This window comes from Homo sapiens, chromosome 1 (genome assembly GCF_000001405.40).
Source record: "Homo sapiens chromosome 1, GRCh38.p14 Primary Assembly".
Classification (NCBI taxonomy): domain Eukaryota; kingdom Metazoa; phylum Chordata; class Mammalia; order Primates; family Hominidae; genus Homo; species Homo sapiens.
Genome location: NC_000001.11, coordinates 86,517,847 through 86,533,028, shown reverse-complemented (window position 1 = coordinate 86,533,028; position 15,182 = coordinate 86,517,847). Strand labels below are relative to the sequence as shown.

General features: G+C 38.6%; 2 long non-coding RNA genes across 2 annotated transcripts in view; one reads left to right on the top strand and one right to left on the bottom strand.

Moving 5' to 3' along the window:
• Nucleotides 1-5,432: 5,432 nt before the first annotated feature.
• Nucleotides 5,433-15,182, top strand: part of LOC124904210 (uncharacterized) — a 51,701-nt gene continuing 41,951 nt past the window's right edge. The window contains exon 1 of the long non-coding RNA XR_007066206.1: nucleotides 5,433-5,657. This is a non-coding gene — a long non-coding RNA (uncharacterized LOC124904210). The remainder of the gene's footprint in view (nucleotides 5,658-15,182) is intronic.
• Nucleotides 9,746-12,666, bottom strand: LOC105378826 (uncharacterized). Its single transcript, XR_947556.2, has 3 exons — nucleotides 12,490-12,666; nucleotides 10,289-10,682; nucleotides 9,746-9,814 (listed from the first exon to the last, which is right to left on the bottom strand). It is a non-coding gene; the product is annotated as an uncharacterized LOC105378826 (long non-coding RNA).

Genomic DNA, 15,182 nt, shown 5'->3' with positions numbered 1-15,182 from the left:
GGAGAAAATATTTGCAAAAGACACATCTGAGAAAGGACAGTTATTCAAAATGTATGAAGGATTCTGAAATTCAACAATAAGAAAACCAACCTAATTAAAAAATGGGCTAAGGACCTTAACAGACAACTCACCAAAGAAGATATGCAGACGGAAAATAAGCATATGAAAAGATGCTCCACATCATAGGTCATCAGGGTAACGCAAATTAAAACCACAATGAAATACCACTGCACACCTATTTGGCCAAAATCCAGAATACTGACAAGATCAAATGATAGCAATACTGGAGCAACAAGAACTCTCACTGGCAGGAATACAAAATGGCATAGCCACTTTGGGAGACAGTTTCTTACAAAGCTAAACGTACTCTTACTATATGATTCAGCAATTATATTCCTTGGTATCTATTCAAAAGAGTTGAAGACACGTCTACACAAAAACCTGCACATGGATGATTATAGCAGCTTTATTCATAATTGCCAAAACTTGGAAGCAGTCAAGATATCCTTCAGTAGATGAGTGGATAATTAAACTGTGGTACATCCAGACAATGAAATATTATTTACCACTAAAAAGAAATGTTACCAAGCCATGAAAAGACATGGAGGAATCTTAAATAAATATTACTAAATGAAAGAAGCCAATTTGAAAAGGCTGCAAACTGTAGAATTCCAACTATTTGACATTCTGGCATTCTGGAAAAGACAAAACTTTGGAGACAGTAAAAAGGCGAGTGATTGCTAGAGATTGAGTAGGGGAGGGTGAGGATAAAAAGTCAAAGCACAAATTTTTACTTTGTATGATACTATAATGGTGGACACGTCATGATACATTTTTCAAAACACATAGAATGTACAACACCAAGAGTGAACCCTAATGTAAACTATATGTAGTGTCAATGTAGGTTTATCAATTATAACAAATATATCACTATATTTGGTAGGGATGTTGATAACGGGGAAGGCTATGCAGGTGTAGGAAACTGGGATATATGGGAAATCTCTGTACCTTTTTCTCAATTTTGCTGTGAACCTAAAATTGCTTCAAAAAAATGAAGTCTATAAAAAAACTGGGGGTTTCTAGTCCACAGTGGATTCTTGCTTATTCACAGAAGCTTATCTCAGTTTGGATTACCCAGGTCTTTTTTTTTTTTGAGACGGAGTCTCGCTCTGTTACCCAGGCTGGAGTGCAGTGGCACGATCTCAGCTCACTGCAACCTCCGCCTCCTGGGTTCAAGAGATTCCCCTGCCTCAGCCTCATGAGTAGCTGGGACTACAGGCATGTGCCACCACACCTGAATAATTTTTGTATTTTTAGTAGAGACGGGAGTTTCACCATGTTGGCCAGGATGGTCTTGGTATCTTGACCTCATGATCCGCCTGCCTTGGCCTCCCAAAGTGCTGAGATTACAGGCATGAGCCACCGCGCCCGGCCAGATTACCCAGGTCTTTTACTCCTCCTCTCTCTCCCTGTCCTGCTAGCTTGTTTGTCCACACTTGACACATTAGTACTTATAGCCTATATCTATTTATTAGGAGTGTTTCCAGTTGTAACACCTGATTAATAGTGGCTGAACCAAATATGGATTTATTTTCTTTATAAGGCAGCCTAGGGCTGGTATAGTTGCTTAATGATGGCAATAAGGGCACAGGTTCTTTCTATATTTCTTCTTCACCAACCTTGGATTGGTGGCTTTTTACTCATCATAAGATGGCTGCTGCAGCTACAGAGGATTGTGGTGGCCCCAACAATGTCTGCTCTTTTATCAGAATAGCAAAAATTTTTTTTTTTTTGAGATGGAGTCTTGCTCTGTTGCCCAGGCTGGAGGACTGGAGTACAGTGGCATGATCTCCGCTCACTGCAACCTCCGCCTCCCGGGTTCAAGCAATTCTCCTGCCTCAGCCTCCTGAGTAGCTGGGATTACAGGCACACGCCACCAAGAGCCTCAGAAAATTTCAATTTCCACTGATTCGCTATATCTTCTGATTCTGTACATCATGCTATTAAAAGTGTGGTCTATGGTCTGGGCACAGTGGCTCACACCTGTAATCCCAGCACTTTGGGAGGCTGAGGTGGGTGGATCACTTGAAGTCAGGAGTTCAAGACCAGCCTGGTCAACATGGTGAAACCCCGTTTCTACTAAAATTACAGAAATTAGCCTAGTGTGGTTGGCACATGCCTGTAATCCCAGCTACTTGGGAGGCTAAGGCAAGAGAATAGCTTGAGCCTGGGAGAAAGAGGTTGCAGTGAGCCAAGATATTGCACCACTGCATTTCAGCCTAGGAGACAGAGCAAGACTTTGTCTCAAAAAAAAAAAAAAAATGTGTGGTCTATGGACCAGCTGCATTGCTGCATTGTCATCAGCGGGAGCTTGTCAGAGATGCAGAGTTTCAGGCATTATCCCAGACCTACTGAATCAGAATCTGCATTTTAACAGATTCTCAGATGATTCATATGCACATTAAATTTTGAGAAGCACTGATGTTCACCATATTGACTATAATGGCCAGACTATGCCTTTATTTGTTTGACTTGAATGTAAATGCATTATCATAAATCATTTCTCTGCTACGGTCAAATAGGCTTATGGTGGCAGCACTGCCACGCACATAATCCTTCATGCTTGATCTACTTTCTTTACTAGGCATTCACATCTTTGCATTTCTCTACCAGGCATGGCCTTCATTCTTGGTACAGAGTCAGCTGTGCCATTCATATCTTATTTCAGCTTTTGAATTATTCTTGTAAAACCTGCTTAGACAATTCTCTTGACACCTGGGGGAGGGATGGTTGGAAGGAAAGGTCCCTCTTTCAATGAAATACTTGCCCAACTAATTATTGCTTGGGCTGCTTGTTTTTCTTCTTTCTACATATGTGTGCTTCAAAGTAAGCAAGTTGAAAGTTATTATTGAGCTCCTTATTTAGTGAAATACAGTGTTTATGTAACGGGTTTTCCCTCTAGATAGAAATTTAATGTTTCTGTAAACTTTGAGATATTTTATTCAGAAGATTGTCACAGAGCAAATCAATTTTAATTTTCTTTTAGACAAAGTACCTGCCACACAAGTCAATAAAAAGTTTGCTCTGTTAAGAAAATGTGGCACATATACACCATGGAATACTATGCAGCCATAAAAAATGATGAGTTCATGTCCTTTGTAGGGACATGGATGAAATTGGAAATCATCATTCTCAGTAAACTATCGCAAGAACAAAAAACCAAACACCACATATTCTCACTCATAGGTGGGAATTGAACAATGAGATCACATGGACACAGGAAGGGGAATATCACACTCTGGGGACTGTGGTGGGGTGGGGGGAGGGGGGAGGGATAGCATTGGGAGATATACCTAATACTAGATGACGAGTTAGTGGGTGCAGCGCACCAGCATGGCACACGTATACATATGTAACTAACCTGCACAATGTGCACATGTACCCTAAAACTTAAAGTATAATAAAAAAAAAAAAAGAATGAACACAAAAGTTTGCTCTGTTTTTTTTGTAAGTAAATTCTTTTGATGGTTATTTAAGACAATATGTTTTTAAGGGAGAAAACTTCATAAGGTAATAATATACTTCATAAAGTAATAATATACTTCATAAAGTAATATAAAATAATATAAATATACAATGTTTAAATAAATAATTAATATATAATATAAAGAGCATACAATGTTTTAAAATGTGCCCCTAGATTTTAGAAAATGCAGTTAATAAATAACGTGCTTCTTCATTCACTTGTTGATGACTCTTACCTGAAGAACTGGATAAAAAGTTTGAATGACTGAAAAATTGGAAAGCTGATATAAACAGAATAAAGGTCAATTGGGTCTAAATGAACTGCTCAATTAAAGACAGGACAAAGACTAACATAGGGTTAACTAGGGAAAAAGTGTGAATTTTGTAATATTAAGCACAAAATGTAGAGTATTTCAGCACCTCCATACCAGTATGCATAAAATCGAATGAATACTATCCTTTGGGAAGTGTTCTTATTTCTATGATTTCAAAGAAGTTTTCTTTCCGTGTAGGATTCAAGAGTAGTATGAAATTTAGAATATGCAGAGTTGCCAGAAAGATAAACACTGGTCAAAAATGTTAGAAACTTCACAATGAGACACTGCTTCACACTTGCTAGGAAGCTATTATCATCAAACGAACAAAACAAAAAACATAAAATAACAAGTGTTGGCAAGGATGTGGAGAAATTGGGACACTCCTGCATTGCTGGTGGGAATGTAAAATGATGCAGCAATCTTGAAAAATAGTATGGTGATTCTTCAAAAATTTAAACACAGAATTACCATATAATTCAGCGATTTCACTTCTAGGTGTGTCCCAAAAGAATTGAAAATAGGAACTTGAACATATATTTGTACACCCATGTTCATAGCAGCATTATTTACAGTTAACAACCAAAGTGTTCATTGATGGATGAATGAATAAGAAAAGTGATATATATGTGCAATTGAATATTATTCAGCCTTAAAGAGGAAGGAAGGAAATTTTGACACATGCTACAACGTGGATGAACCTTGAAGACATTATACTATGTGGAACAAGCCAGTCACAAAAGGACACAAATATTGTATGGGTCAATTTTTATGAGGCACCCATAGGAGTCAGATTCATAGAGACAGAAAGTTGAATGGTGGTTGCCAGGAACTGGGGAGAGGTGAGAATGGGAAGTTATTTTTAATGGGTAGAGTTTCAGTTTGGGAAGATTAAAATGTTCTAGAGATGGATGGGGGTGATGGTTGCACAAAAGTGTGAATGTATTTAGTGCCACTGAATTGTGTACTTAAAAGTGGTTAAAAAGGTAAATTTTATTTTATATATATTTTGCCATAAGGAAAAATTTAGAAACTTAAGAGGATGAAGGTTTAACATTTTTTATTATCTCACGTTTAAGTTAATGAGTTAAACACTTACCACAGTGTTATTGCCTTTATTAGGTAGCTTTATTAGGTATGTTGGTGTCAGGTACTGGTAACCTCAGTTTTCCCGGGTTACCAATAGTCCAACAAGCATTTGCTGAGTGCCCTACTGACTATTAACCAGGTGCTGTAGTAGGCCTTAAAGATACAAAAAGAAGTTAAATATAGCCCTTGACTTTAGTGAGGTCACAGATTAGCATGGAAGACAGACATGGAGATAAATGACTGCAACTTAGTGCAATGCAACGTATAACAGAAATATATATGACATTCTGGTTGAAAGAGCAGGTTCTGGTACACACTGCCTGAATTTGAATCCAGGCTTGATTACTTTTACCAGTAGTGTGATCTTAAGCAAATTACTAAATCTGTTTTTTAGTTTCTGTAATATCAGAGTAGTAATGATTCTTACCTCACAGGATTGTTGTGAGGATTAAATGGGTTCTTATTGTGAAATGCTTAGATTAGTGCTTAACATGTGGTAAATACTTATTAGATCCCAGTAAAGACTGAAAGTGTGGGAAGGTCAAGGTACAGCTAATTTCAAGAGCGGTCGAAACCAGGAACTTACACATTCTCTCTCTCTCCTTTGTTTCTACTTCCTTTAGTCACTTCCATTCTCTATTACGAAGGCTGACCTTTGTCCATATGACAAGAAACAGAGCCAAGAACAGAAACTGAGTTTTATGTTTTAAAGCTTCTCTCACCGGAAAGGTATGGATTCATTCAGTTTCTTAGGCAAATACTTTGATTGGCCTGGCTTGGATTAGATACCCATCCCTTGGTCAATTACCAGAGTGGGAGGGGGATGAGATACTATAATTGGCCCATCATGGGTCACATGCCAATCTCTAAACCAATCACCTGTGGCCAGAATATGGGGGTCATATGGGAAAAAAGTTCTAAAGTCCTAGAGATCTGGATGCAGGAGGCAGTTCTCATCCAGAAAGACAATAACCTAAAATTACCTACTATCATCTTCATATAGTGTACTTGTCTTATTTCTCTAACAAAATTGTAAGCTTCTTTGAAGCGTCAGTCATGCCTTATATTTTGCCTTCTTTCATAATTAAGGATTTTTAGCAGGTATTTACTGATTGATTTATTGTCATGTAGAACACACTGGGTGTCATAAGAGACAGAAGAAGAACCACTGTATTAGAAATCTGGAGAAATGATTTCTGGGTCTAACTTTGCCACCTCTCTGACCTTCTATAATATGATGTGGCAAATTAAGATATTAAAATAGATAATTCCTAAGATTCTTTTCAACTCTAAAATTCTATTAATTTTATCAGGATTACATTCACTAATTTTTAAAAAATAATTTTGACTTATTTTAGATTCACGGGTACATGTGCATGTTTGCTACATGGGTATATTGCATGATGCTGAGTTTTGGTGTACGAATGATCCCATCACCCAGGTAGTGGGCATAGTACACAATAGGTATTTTTTAACTCATGCACCCCTCTCTTCCTCCCTAGTGTCTATTTTTCCCATGTTTATATCCACGTGTGCTCAATGTTTAGCTCACACCTAAATGTGAGAACATATAGTGTTTGGTTTTCTGTTGCTGCATTAATTTGCTTAAGGTTATGGCCTCCAGACCCATCCATATTTCTGCAAAGGGCATGATTTTGTACCTTTTTATGGCTTCATTGTATTCCATGGTGTATATATTCCACATTTTCTTTATTTGATCTACCATTGACAGTCACCTAGGTTGATTCCATGTCTTTGCTATTGTAAATAGCGTGGTGATGAACTTATGAGTGCATGTGTCCTTTTGGTAGAATCATTTCTTTCCTTTTGCTATATACCCACTAATGGGGTTGCTGGATTGAATGATAATTCTATTTTTACTTCCTTGAGGAATCTCCAAATTGCTTTCTGCAGTGGCTGAACAAATTTACGTTTTACTGACAATATATGTGTTCCCTTTTCTCTGCAGCCTTGCCAACATCTATTGCTTTTTGACTTTTGACTGGTGTAAGATGGTATCTCATTATGGTTTTGATTGGCAGTTTTCTGACTACTGGTGATGCTGAGCATTTCTTTCCTATGTTTGTTGGCCGCTTATATGTCTTCTTTTGAGAAGCATCTGTTCATGTCTTTTGCCCACTTTTTTTTTGAGACAGAGTCTCACTCTGTTGACTCCAGGCTGGAGTGCGGTGGCATGATATCGGCTCACTGCAAACTCCACCTCCCAGGTTCAAGCGATTCTTCTGCCTCAGCCTCCTGAGTAGCTGGGATTACAGGTGCGCGTCACCACGCCCTGCTAATTTTTGTATTTTTAGTAGAGAAAGGTTTCACCATGTTGGTCAGGCTGGTCTCGAACTCCTGACTTCGTGATCCACCTGCCTCATCCTCCCAAAGTGCTGGGTTTCCAGGCGTGATTGCTCGCTTTTTAATGGGGTTGTTTTTGGCTTGTTGAATTAAGTTTCTTATACATTCTGGATATTAGACCTTTGTCAGATGCATAGTTTGTGCATTTGTCAGATGCATAGTTTGTGCATAGTTTGTGCATTTAGTGATTTGGCATTCACTAAATCTTAACTCTTTTCAATTATTGATTAGCTGGTATTTTTGACCCTGTTGTTTAAACAAACTTATTTTTTAAAATCCTGAATTTTTAAATGGCAGTCAGACTTCTTATATTGAACAGAATTCCACTCACATCTGTTTCTTTAGGCTGCCAGTACCTTTCTCCTAGGTTGTTCACATACATGGCTTCCTCCTTTTCACCTTTGCTTTTCTTCTCATAAGCAGAAAAACTGGGAAAAAATAAAAACTAAAACAAAGGTAATAATCATAGACAGAGTTTGAAATACCCTAGGTCACTTTCACGACCCAAAAAGCTTTGAAACAGACTGTTTGGAAAGGGATTTTGGAAGTTTGGAAGAGGGCTATTATGGGTTGAATCTTGTTACCCCAAAAATTCATATGTTGAAGTCTGGACCCCTAGTACTTCAGAATATAACTTTATTTGAAAATAAGGCCATAAAAGATGTTAATTAATTAAGAGATTATACTGGTGAAGCTCCTATTTCAGTATAACTAGTGTACTTACAAAATGGTGAAATTTAGACATAGACCCTCAAATAGAGACACCACCACATACACATGAAGGCAAGGGATCAGGTGATGTGTCTAGAAACCAAAGAATGCCAAAGATTGCAGCAAACTAGCAAAAGCTCGGGGGGAAAAGGAATGGAACGAATTCTGTCTCACAGCCCTCAAAAACTCGGAAGGAATCAACCTGCCAACACCTTAATCTTGGACTCCTATTTTCCAGAACTATGACACAATAAAATTCTGCCATGTTTGTGGCATTTTGTTATAGCCACCCTAGGAAACTATACAGGGACCAAAATTTTGCTCCCTGATCATTCTTTAACTGTAAAATTCTGTTAACTGAGTCTTTGCCTTAATTATAGAGTTTAGAATTACAAAAATCTAGGTTGGAACCACAATTTTCCCCAAAGAACCAGAGACTCATCAAACAACTTCCATCTCATAACATTAAAAGGAAAATGTAATAGATTCTTAAACATGCAATTAAAGCACTATGGTTCCTTTTCACAACTTTTCAAGGACATAGAAGCAACACTTTCTCTTAGGTTTATTTTGGTTTTTGATTATGGGGAATCAATGGGGGAAATCTAATTATTTACTCTAGGCAAATGTTTTTGTTCTTTGGTCTAATTAGAAGATGAGAGGTGACAACGTGTTAGCAGCCCTCCTTTGCTCTCAATGCCTCCTCGGCCTCGGCGTCCGCTCTGGCTATACTTGAGCCCTTCAGCCCGCGCTGCACTGTGGGAGCCCCTCTCTGGGCTGGTCGAGGACGGGAGCTCCCACGGCTTGCGGGGAGGTGTGGAAGGAGAGGCACGGGAACCGGGGATGCGCCCGGGAACCAGGGATGCGCCCAGCATTTGCAGGCCAGCGCCAGTTCTGGGTGGCGTGGGCTCGGTGGGCCGCACTTGGAGCGGTGGGCCAGCGCCACAGGCCCGGGCAGTGAGGGGCTTAGCACCTGGGCCAGCAGCTGCTGAGGGTGCGCCAGGTCGCCCAGCACTGCCTGCCCATCTGCCCCACACTTGAATTCTCACCGGGCCTGAGCCACCTCCCCATGGGGCAGGGCTGGGGACCTGCAGCTCACGATGCCTGAGCCCCCCACCCTGTGGGCTCTCATGCAGCCTGAGACTCCCTGACAGGCACCGCCCCCTGCTCCACAGCCCCCGGTCCCATCAACCGCTGAAGGGCTAACCTGTGCAGGCGCAGCACAGGACGGGCAAGCAGCTCCACCCAGGGCCCCAGCGCCTGGATCCCCTAGGGAAGCCAGCTGGGTTCCTGAGTTGGGTGGGGTCTTGGAGAACATTTATGTCTAGCTGGAGGATTGTAAATGCACCAATCAGCACCCTGTGTCTAGCTCAAGGTTTGTAAACACACCAATCAGCACCCTGTCAAAACAGACCAATCAGCTCTCTGTAAAATGGACCAATCAGCTCTCTGTAAAATGGACCAATCAGTAGGATGTGGGTGGGGTCAAATAAGGGAATAAAAGCAGGCTGCCGGAGCCAGCGGCTGCAACAGGTTGGGGTTCCTTTTTGTGGTGTGTAAGTGTTGTTCTTTTCCTCTTTGTGCTGAATTTTGCTGGTGCGTGCTCTTTGGGTTTGCACAGCTTTTATGAGCTGTAACACTCACCACGAAAGTTTGTAGCTTCACTCTTGTGGCCAGCGAGGAACCCGCTGGGAGGGACGAGCAACTGCAGATGCGTTGCATGTAAGAGCTGTAACACTCACTGCGAAGGTCTGCAGGTTCACTCCTGAAGTCAGCGAGATCACGGTGCGAAGAAACTTGCGACATGCCATCTGTAAGAACTGTAACACTTAGTGCTAGGGTCCGGGCCTTCATTCTTGAAGTCAGTGAGACCAAGAACCCACCAGTTCCAGATACAAAGAGATACCTCATACAACAAGTAGACCAGTACTACTGGTACTATTTACTGGTATCAATAGTTGCAATACTACTGTCGCTGCTAACTCACTGCACTCCTTGTCGATCAGCGAAAGGCCTTGATTCCTACTTACAAAGAATATAGAAGCTCCTAGACATGAACTCCATTAAATGCTTGCCTTCATGACTATTTCCTTAATCACCAGAGAACACTGCTCATTACGTTTGTAAAGGGTAATGTCTGTGCACTTGTGCTCTTTATCTTCCATTCTCTCTAAATACCTTGATGTTCTATTTGTCTCCTCTCTTTTTTATGTCCTCTTCTCTACTGGTTTCCTACTCCTCTCCCTGGCCCTCACCACCCACCAACATAGAAAAATGATACAAACCTTTCTTAGAAGGTTAAAGAAAGTGCAGTAACTTGGATATATTGTTACATCTGAAGAACAATTTGAAATACTTGTATTGCTAGATCTCTCTGTAATATTTTAGGTTGTTGCTGATCATCCCTATTTGTTGAAACTGCTCCCTTTGTTGGTTTTCATGATGCACTTCTGATTACATTTGCAAAACTCTGGCCATTCCTTTTCAGTCTAGCTCACAATGCCTCTTCTCGTATCCACTCCTTAAATGTTGGCTTTTCTCAGAGTTCATTCTTGGCTGCCTTCTTTTCAGCATCTGTGTCCCAGTTGGTGATCTTCCCTCCCACACGTGGCTTCAGTTATCCTCTGTATGCTGACGATGACCAACTACACATCCAGCTCAGACTTCTGAACAGCAGCACTAGGTGCAAGAAGTGGTAGAATAAATTTTCAAAGTGTTTAAAGAAAAAAATTAAACAGTGTTTTTAATTATCACTTACATATTTTCATGAAGTGGATACTAAGACTCAGACCACCTAACACACATGTTAAAAGCACTGTTGGAGGAAATTATCCGGTTAGAAGCAAATAAGATATAGGAAATAAATATCAGTAAATAATTTAGTAAAATTTCTTGTCTAAACAAGTAATGAATGACAACAAAAGTCTATCAATGTTTAAACTTAGAAAACAACAACATGAGTCAGGTTGGTGTTGGAGTCCAGAGAGACCAAAGAGCTTACTAAGGCATTTCTGTTGAAAGTGAAGGGGATAAGGAAAATATAGCTACTGACAAGCTTTAGAATTCTATTACTGTAGGAAATAAATCAGTGAATACTAAATATAAGAACAGAAGTTGAGAAAAATACCAGAAGACTAAAATCATGTGTAATTTTCAAACCAGCAGAGTAAAACTCAGTCTATCCAATAGATGTTAGGAAAGGAGGGAAACAGAAGAAACAAAAAGGAAATACAGAAAATGGAAGAGATAAATGCAAGAAATAAATAATAAACGTTTGTGAATTAAACTCACTTTTAGTAAGAGAGAGACTCTCAGTATAGATTTTTAAATGATGCAATAGTATAAGGTTCATAGAGAAATACTTAAAATGATAATGTAACAATTCCCAAATTACCTACGTGTAAAAGAAAATGTATGAAAGGATATTTGTAACAGGTAAAGAAAAAGAAAAAAACAGTTGACCCTAGAATATTTTATTCTGCCTCATTATAACTTTGCTCAATAGTTCACTAGCTCAAAGATTGCCAACTCTGTTCTACAGAACTCTTTGTCTCTATCTTGATTGCTCTCAATATGTCCTGCAACACAGTCTAAGTAAAAACATGATTCACACCTGTTGCTGCTTTTCACAATCGTTATCTATTGCCTATAGGATAGAAGTCCAAGATCACTGTCATGTTTTTCAAAGCCTTTCTTGATTTATGTTGGCTACTTCCCTATTACCTCTGTACCCTTGACCCTCCTGTTATCTCCTCTTCATGCTTTGGGATGAAACATATGCACTTCTCTAAATAAAGCACTGTAGTTCTCATTTATGTACCTTTGCCTATTTGGATCTTTCTGGCTGGAATTTCCTTCTTCCTTGTTTATCCATCAAGACTTTGAGGAGGTACCACCCTCTCCATGATACTGTCTCCTTTATACTCCTATATTTATATGACATTATATTACATCACATTACATTACTTTGTTGCTTTATCCGTATCCCCTACTAAATTGTAAACTACTGGAAAACAGGGATCACGTGGTCCCAGCCTCCAGCACAGTGCCTGCCATGTGGTACAGATTGTTCTCCATGAATAGATGAATCCAAGACAACAAATACTATGTCTCAGGTGCTAGACAGTGTTAGACTCAGACCAAGAGGTAAGAAACAAAAATTTAGGAAATAGGTTCTGCATACAAAGGTTACAGTAAATGATTTAGTTAGCTCAAAAAGGAAATTAACGTAAACAAGTTATTTTCTGAAATTTAATTGTACTGTATGAGTATTATACTTAGGCAGCACTCTGATGGTGGCATGTGAAAGAAAACCAACTCAAATAAGTTAGTTAAATGTACGGTATTTGTAGAAAATATTGGGCTTGTCTCAAATAGCATTGTAAAGGTGAGGCTGCTCCTACAGCTCAGGTTCAAAGGGAACCGGGAAAACTGGGGACATGAATGTAGCCAGCGTTCTGACTGTCTCTTGGTCTACTGGCCTCACCTCTTATATCAGCTTCCCTCTTTCAGCGGGAAAAATGGGCAGAGAGGAGCCCCGAGCCTTACAACACATAGTTTTTTTGTCAGAGACATTGATCTTCTTCACTGGTTCCTGTTGAATAAGTCTTGGAGAAGAGCTCTGATAACGTCTTCTGAGTCAGTTACCCACCCAGGGTGAATCGGTGATAGCTAGAAGGGAAGAGGCAGATAGCCAAAGGTATGAGAAGTGGAGCAGTCTCAATTCTTGACATGCAAAATGAGGTCCTCCAGCATCATCTGGAGCTTATTAGACATAAAGAATCTTGGGCTCCTGAACTTACTGAACCAAAATCTGCATTTTAACTAGCTCCCAAGTGATTCATGTACACACTCAAGTTTAAGAGGCATAGAACACATTAACCAGGAATGACAGTTCTCTATTTTTTCTGAGACTGGGAAAATTAGTACTGGTTTTAAGTTGTAGCAAGAGGTGTTTCAAGGAAATGTTTGCGAGATAATCTTGTGTTTAAAACAGAATACAACAGTATCTTGAAAAGTTTTGGAATTTTCTTTTGGTAGAAATTTTAGAGAAATATTCACTATTTTTCTCTGGAATAGTTTGTCATATATGCAAAGAAATAGACATTCAAACTTACTTTACTCTCCCATCATTTCTATAATAAATTTTATCTATTTTTTTTTAAACAAATTCACCCCAGAGACTAAATACTGGCACCTGGAAATACCTATTTCCATACCAGTGACTTATTTCCTCTTTGGGCCTCACACTAATTACGTTTTCTCCACATGATATTGAGACTCCGTCTCAAAAAAAAAAAAAAAAAAAAAAGGAAATAATTAAATAAATAAAAAATGAAATAAAGTTAGTAACAGGTTTCTTAAATTTACCAATCCTTTTTTCTAGCTTATTCCAGGTGAAGTCTAGAAAATGCTTTTTGACAGTAAAGAATTTGTTCTTTGGTTGAGTGGAGCAAAAAACATTTTCAAGAATCAACCATTCTTTTTATCTTCTCTGCATATCAGAGCTTTAAAAAATCAGATTATGTCTTTGCTATTAGTCAAAATGAAGGTTGATTACAACATATTTCCAAAGGATTAAAGGACAGTTCCAAAGAATATTGACTTTTTACACAGAATTGTTTATGTCACTTATTGTTGATGAATTAAATTAAAATACGATAGATATTTTTTCTATAGTAGCTTTTTTGTGGTTAATGGTTTAAATCATTTCAGGTGGTGATTTTTTTTTTTCTTTTCAAACAGAGAACGAGCTGGGTAAGGTGGCTTACACTTGTAGTCACAGCATTTTGGGAAGCTGAGGTGGGAGAATCACTTGAGGCCAGGAGTTTGAGACCAGCCTGGGGCAACATAGCAAGATCCCTGTCTCTGTTATTTAAAAAAAAAAAAGATAGAAAAGTGGTAAGAATTTAAAGCATCTAAAGCCACTTTTGGGATTCTGATTCAAAGTCTCACTAGGTTCTCAAACCATCTAGCCCACAGTGACAAAGATTAGCAAGATGTCAGTTCTCCTGATTTAAGAATCTATTCAGCAGTAAAACAGAACAACAAAACAAAAAACTCCAACTAACTAGACAACTATGTTATGTTAAATTAGCAAATTTGATTGACACACATTATCCAATGTTAAAACAGAAAAACAAAACAGACAAGCAAGCTAGGCCATTTAACTACATACTTTAAGTTAGTAAATTTGATGGACGCACAGTCATAAAAATTCCAAAGTCAATAGCTATGTTGAGAATAGTCCCTTGTAATAGTTCTTCCCTGAATCCATAGGAATTTCCCCTTATTTCCTGGTTAGTGGAAATATAGATAAGGAAGGCACACAGGACATTGAATTAAATACAAAATATTTCCTGCATATGGGACCTTGACTACACAATAAAAAATTAGATCTATAATGAAAGCATTTAAAATTCCTTTCTGAAAAGTAAAATGCAAGAAAAAAATGGCTAATGTTAGATGTTCATCAGATAAACTAAAATGTTCCTGAAGTTACTTGTACTATTACTCTAGAAATATTTACGGATTATCTTGTCTGGGTCAATTGCTTTAGTTCTACCTGCCTGCAAATAGAGCTCACTAACACAGTATGACCTTACTCAACTTGTTGAACCACTCTTTGCCTCAGCTTCCTGATTTGTAAATATGGATAATAATGTTATTGACCTAGGGTTTCTGTGAAGAAAAATGAGATAATATAGCAGAAGCTCTTAGAGTAGTGCTTGACACATGGAAAGTGCTTAGTAAATATTAGCAGTTCTTAGTATTATTACTAAGCTATGATAAGTATTTTGTTATTCTAATTTTGTTATTATTATTCTTGGTTTTAATAAGTATTCTGTTACTGCTATAAGGAAAGTAGTTTTCCACTTCTTTCTTCATCCAGCAAATAATGTCTTGTGAATAGCATTAATATAATTGCAATTGTGTTTCTGGAGTGAGCCTGCCAATGAATTAACCTGAAAATGCTTCTTGGCTATAGGGACTAAAGCTGTTGAACATCTGAGGCTTGTACAGTGTTGGCTCAGTTCATGCAACTAAGCTTCTTTCAAGAGGAAATATAATAAACTGATGAAAGAGATTGGCTTCCAGAGTCAGACTAACTGTGATTTACATACTGCTTAAGTCACTTACCAAGTGAGGTTGCAGGCAGATCATTTAGCTCTCAGTCTT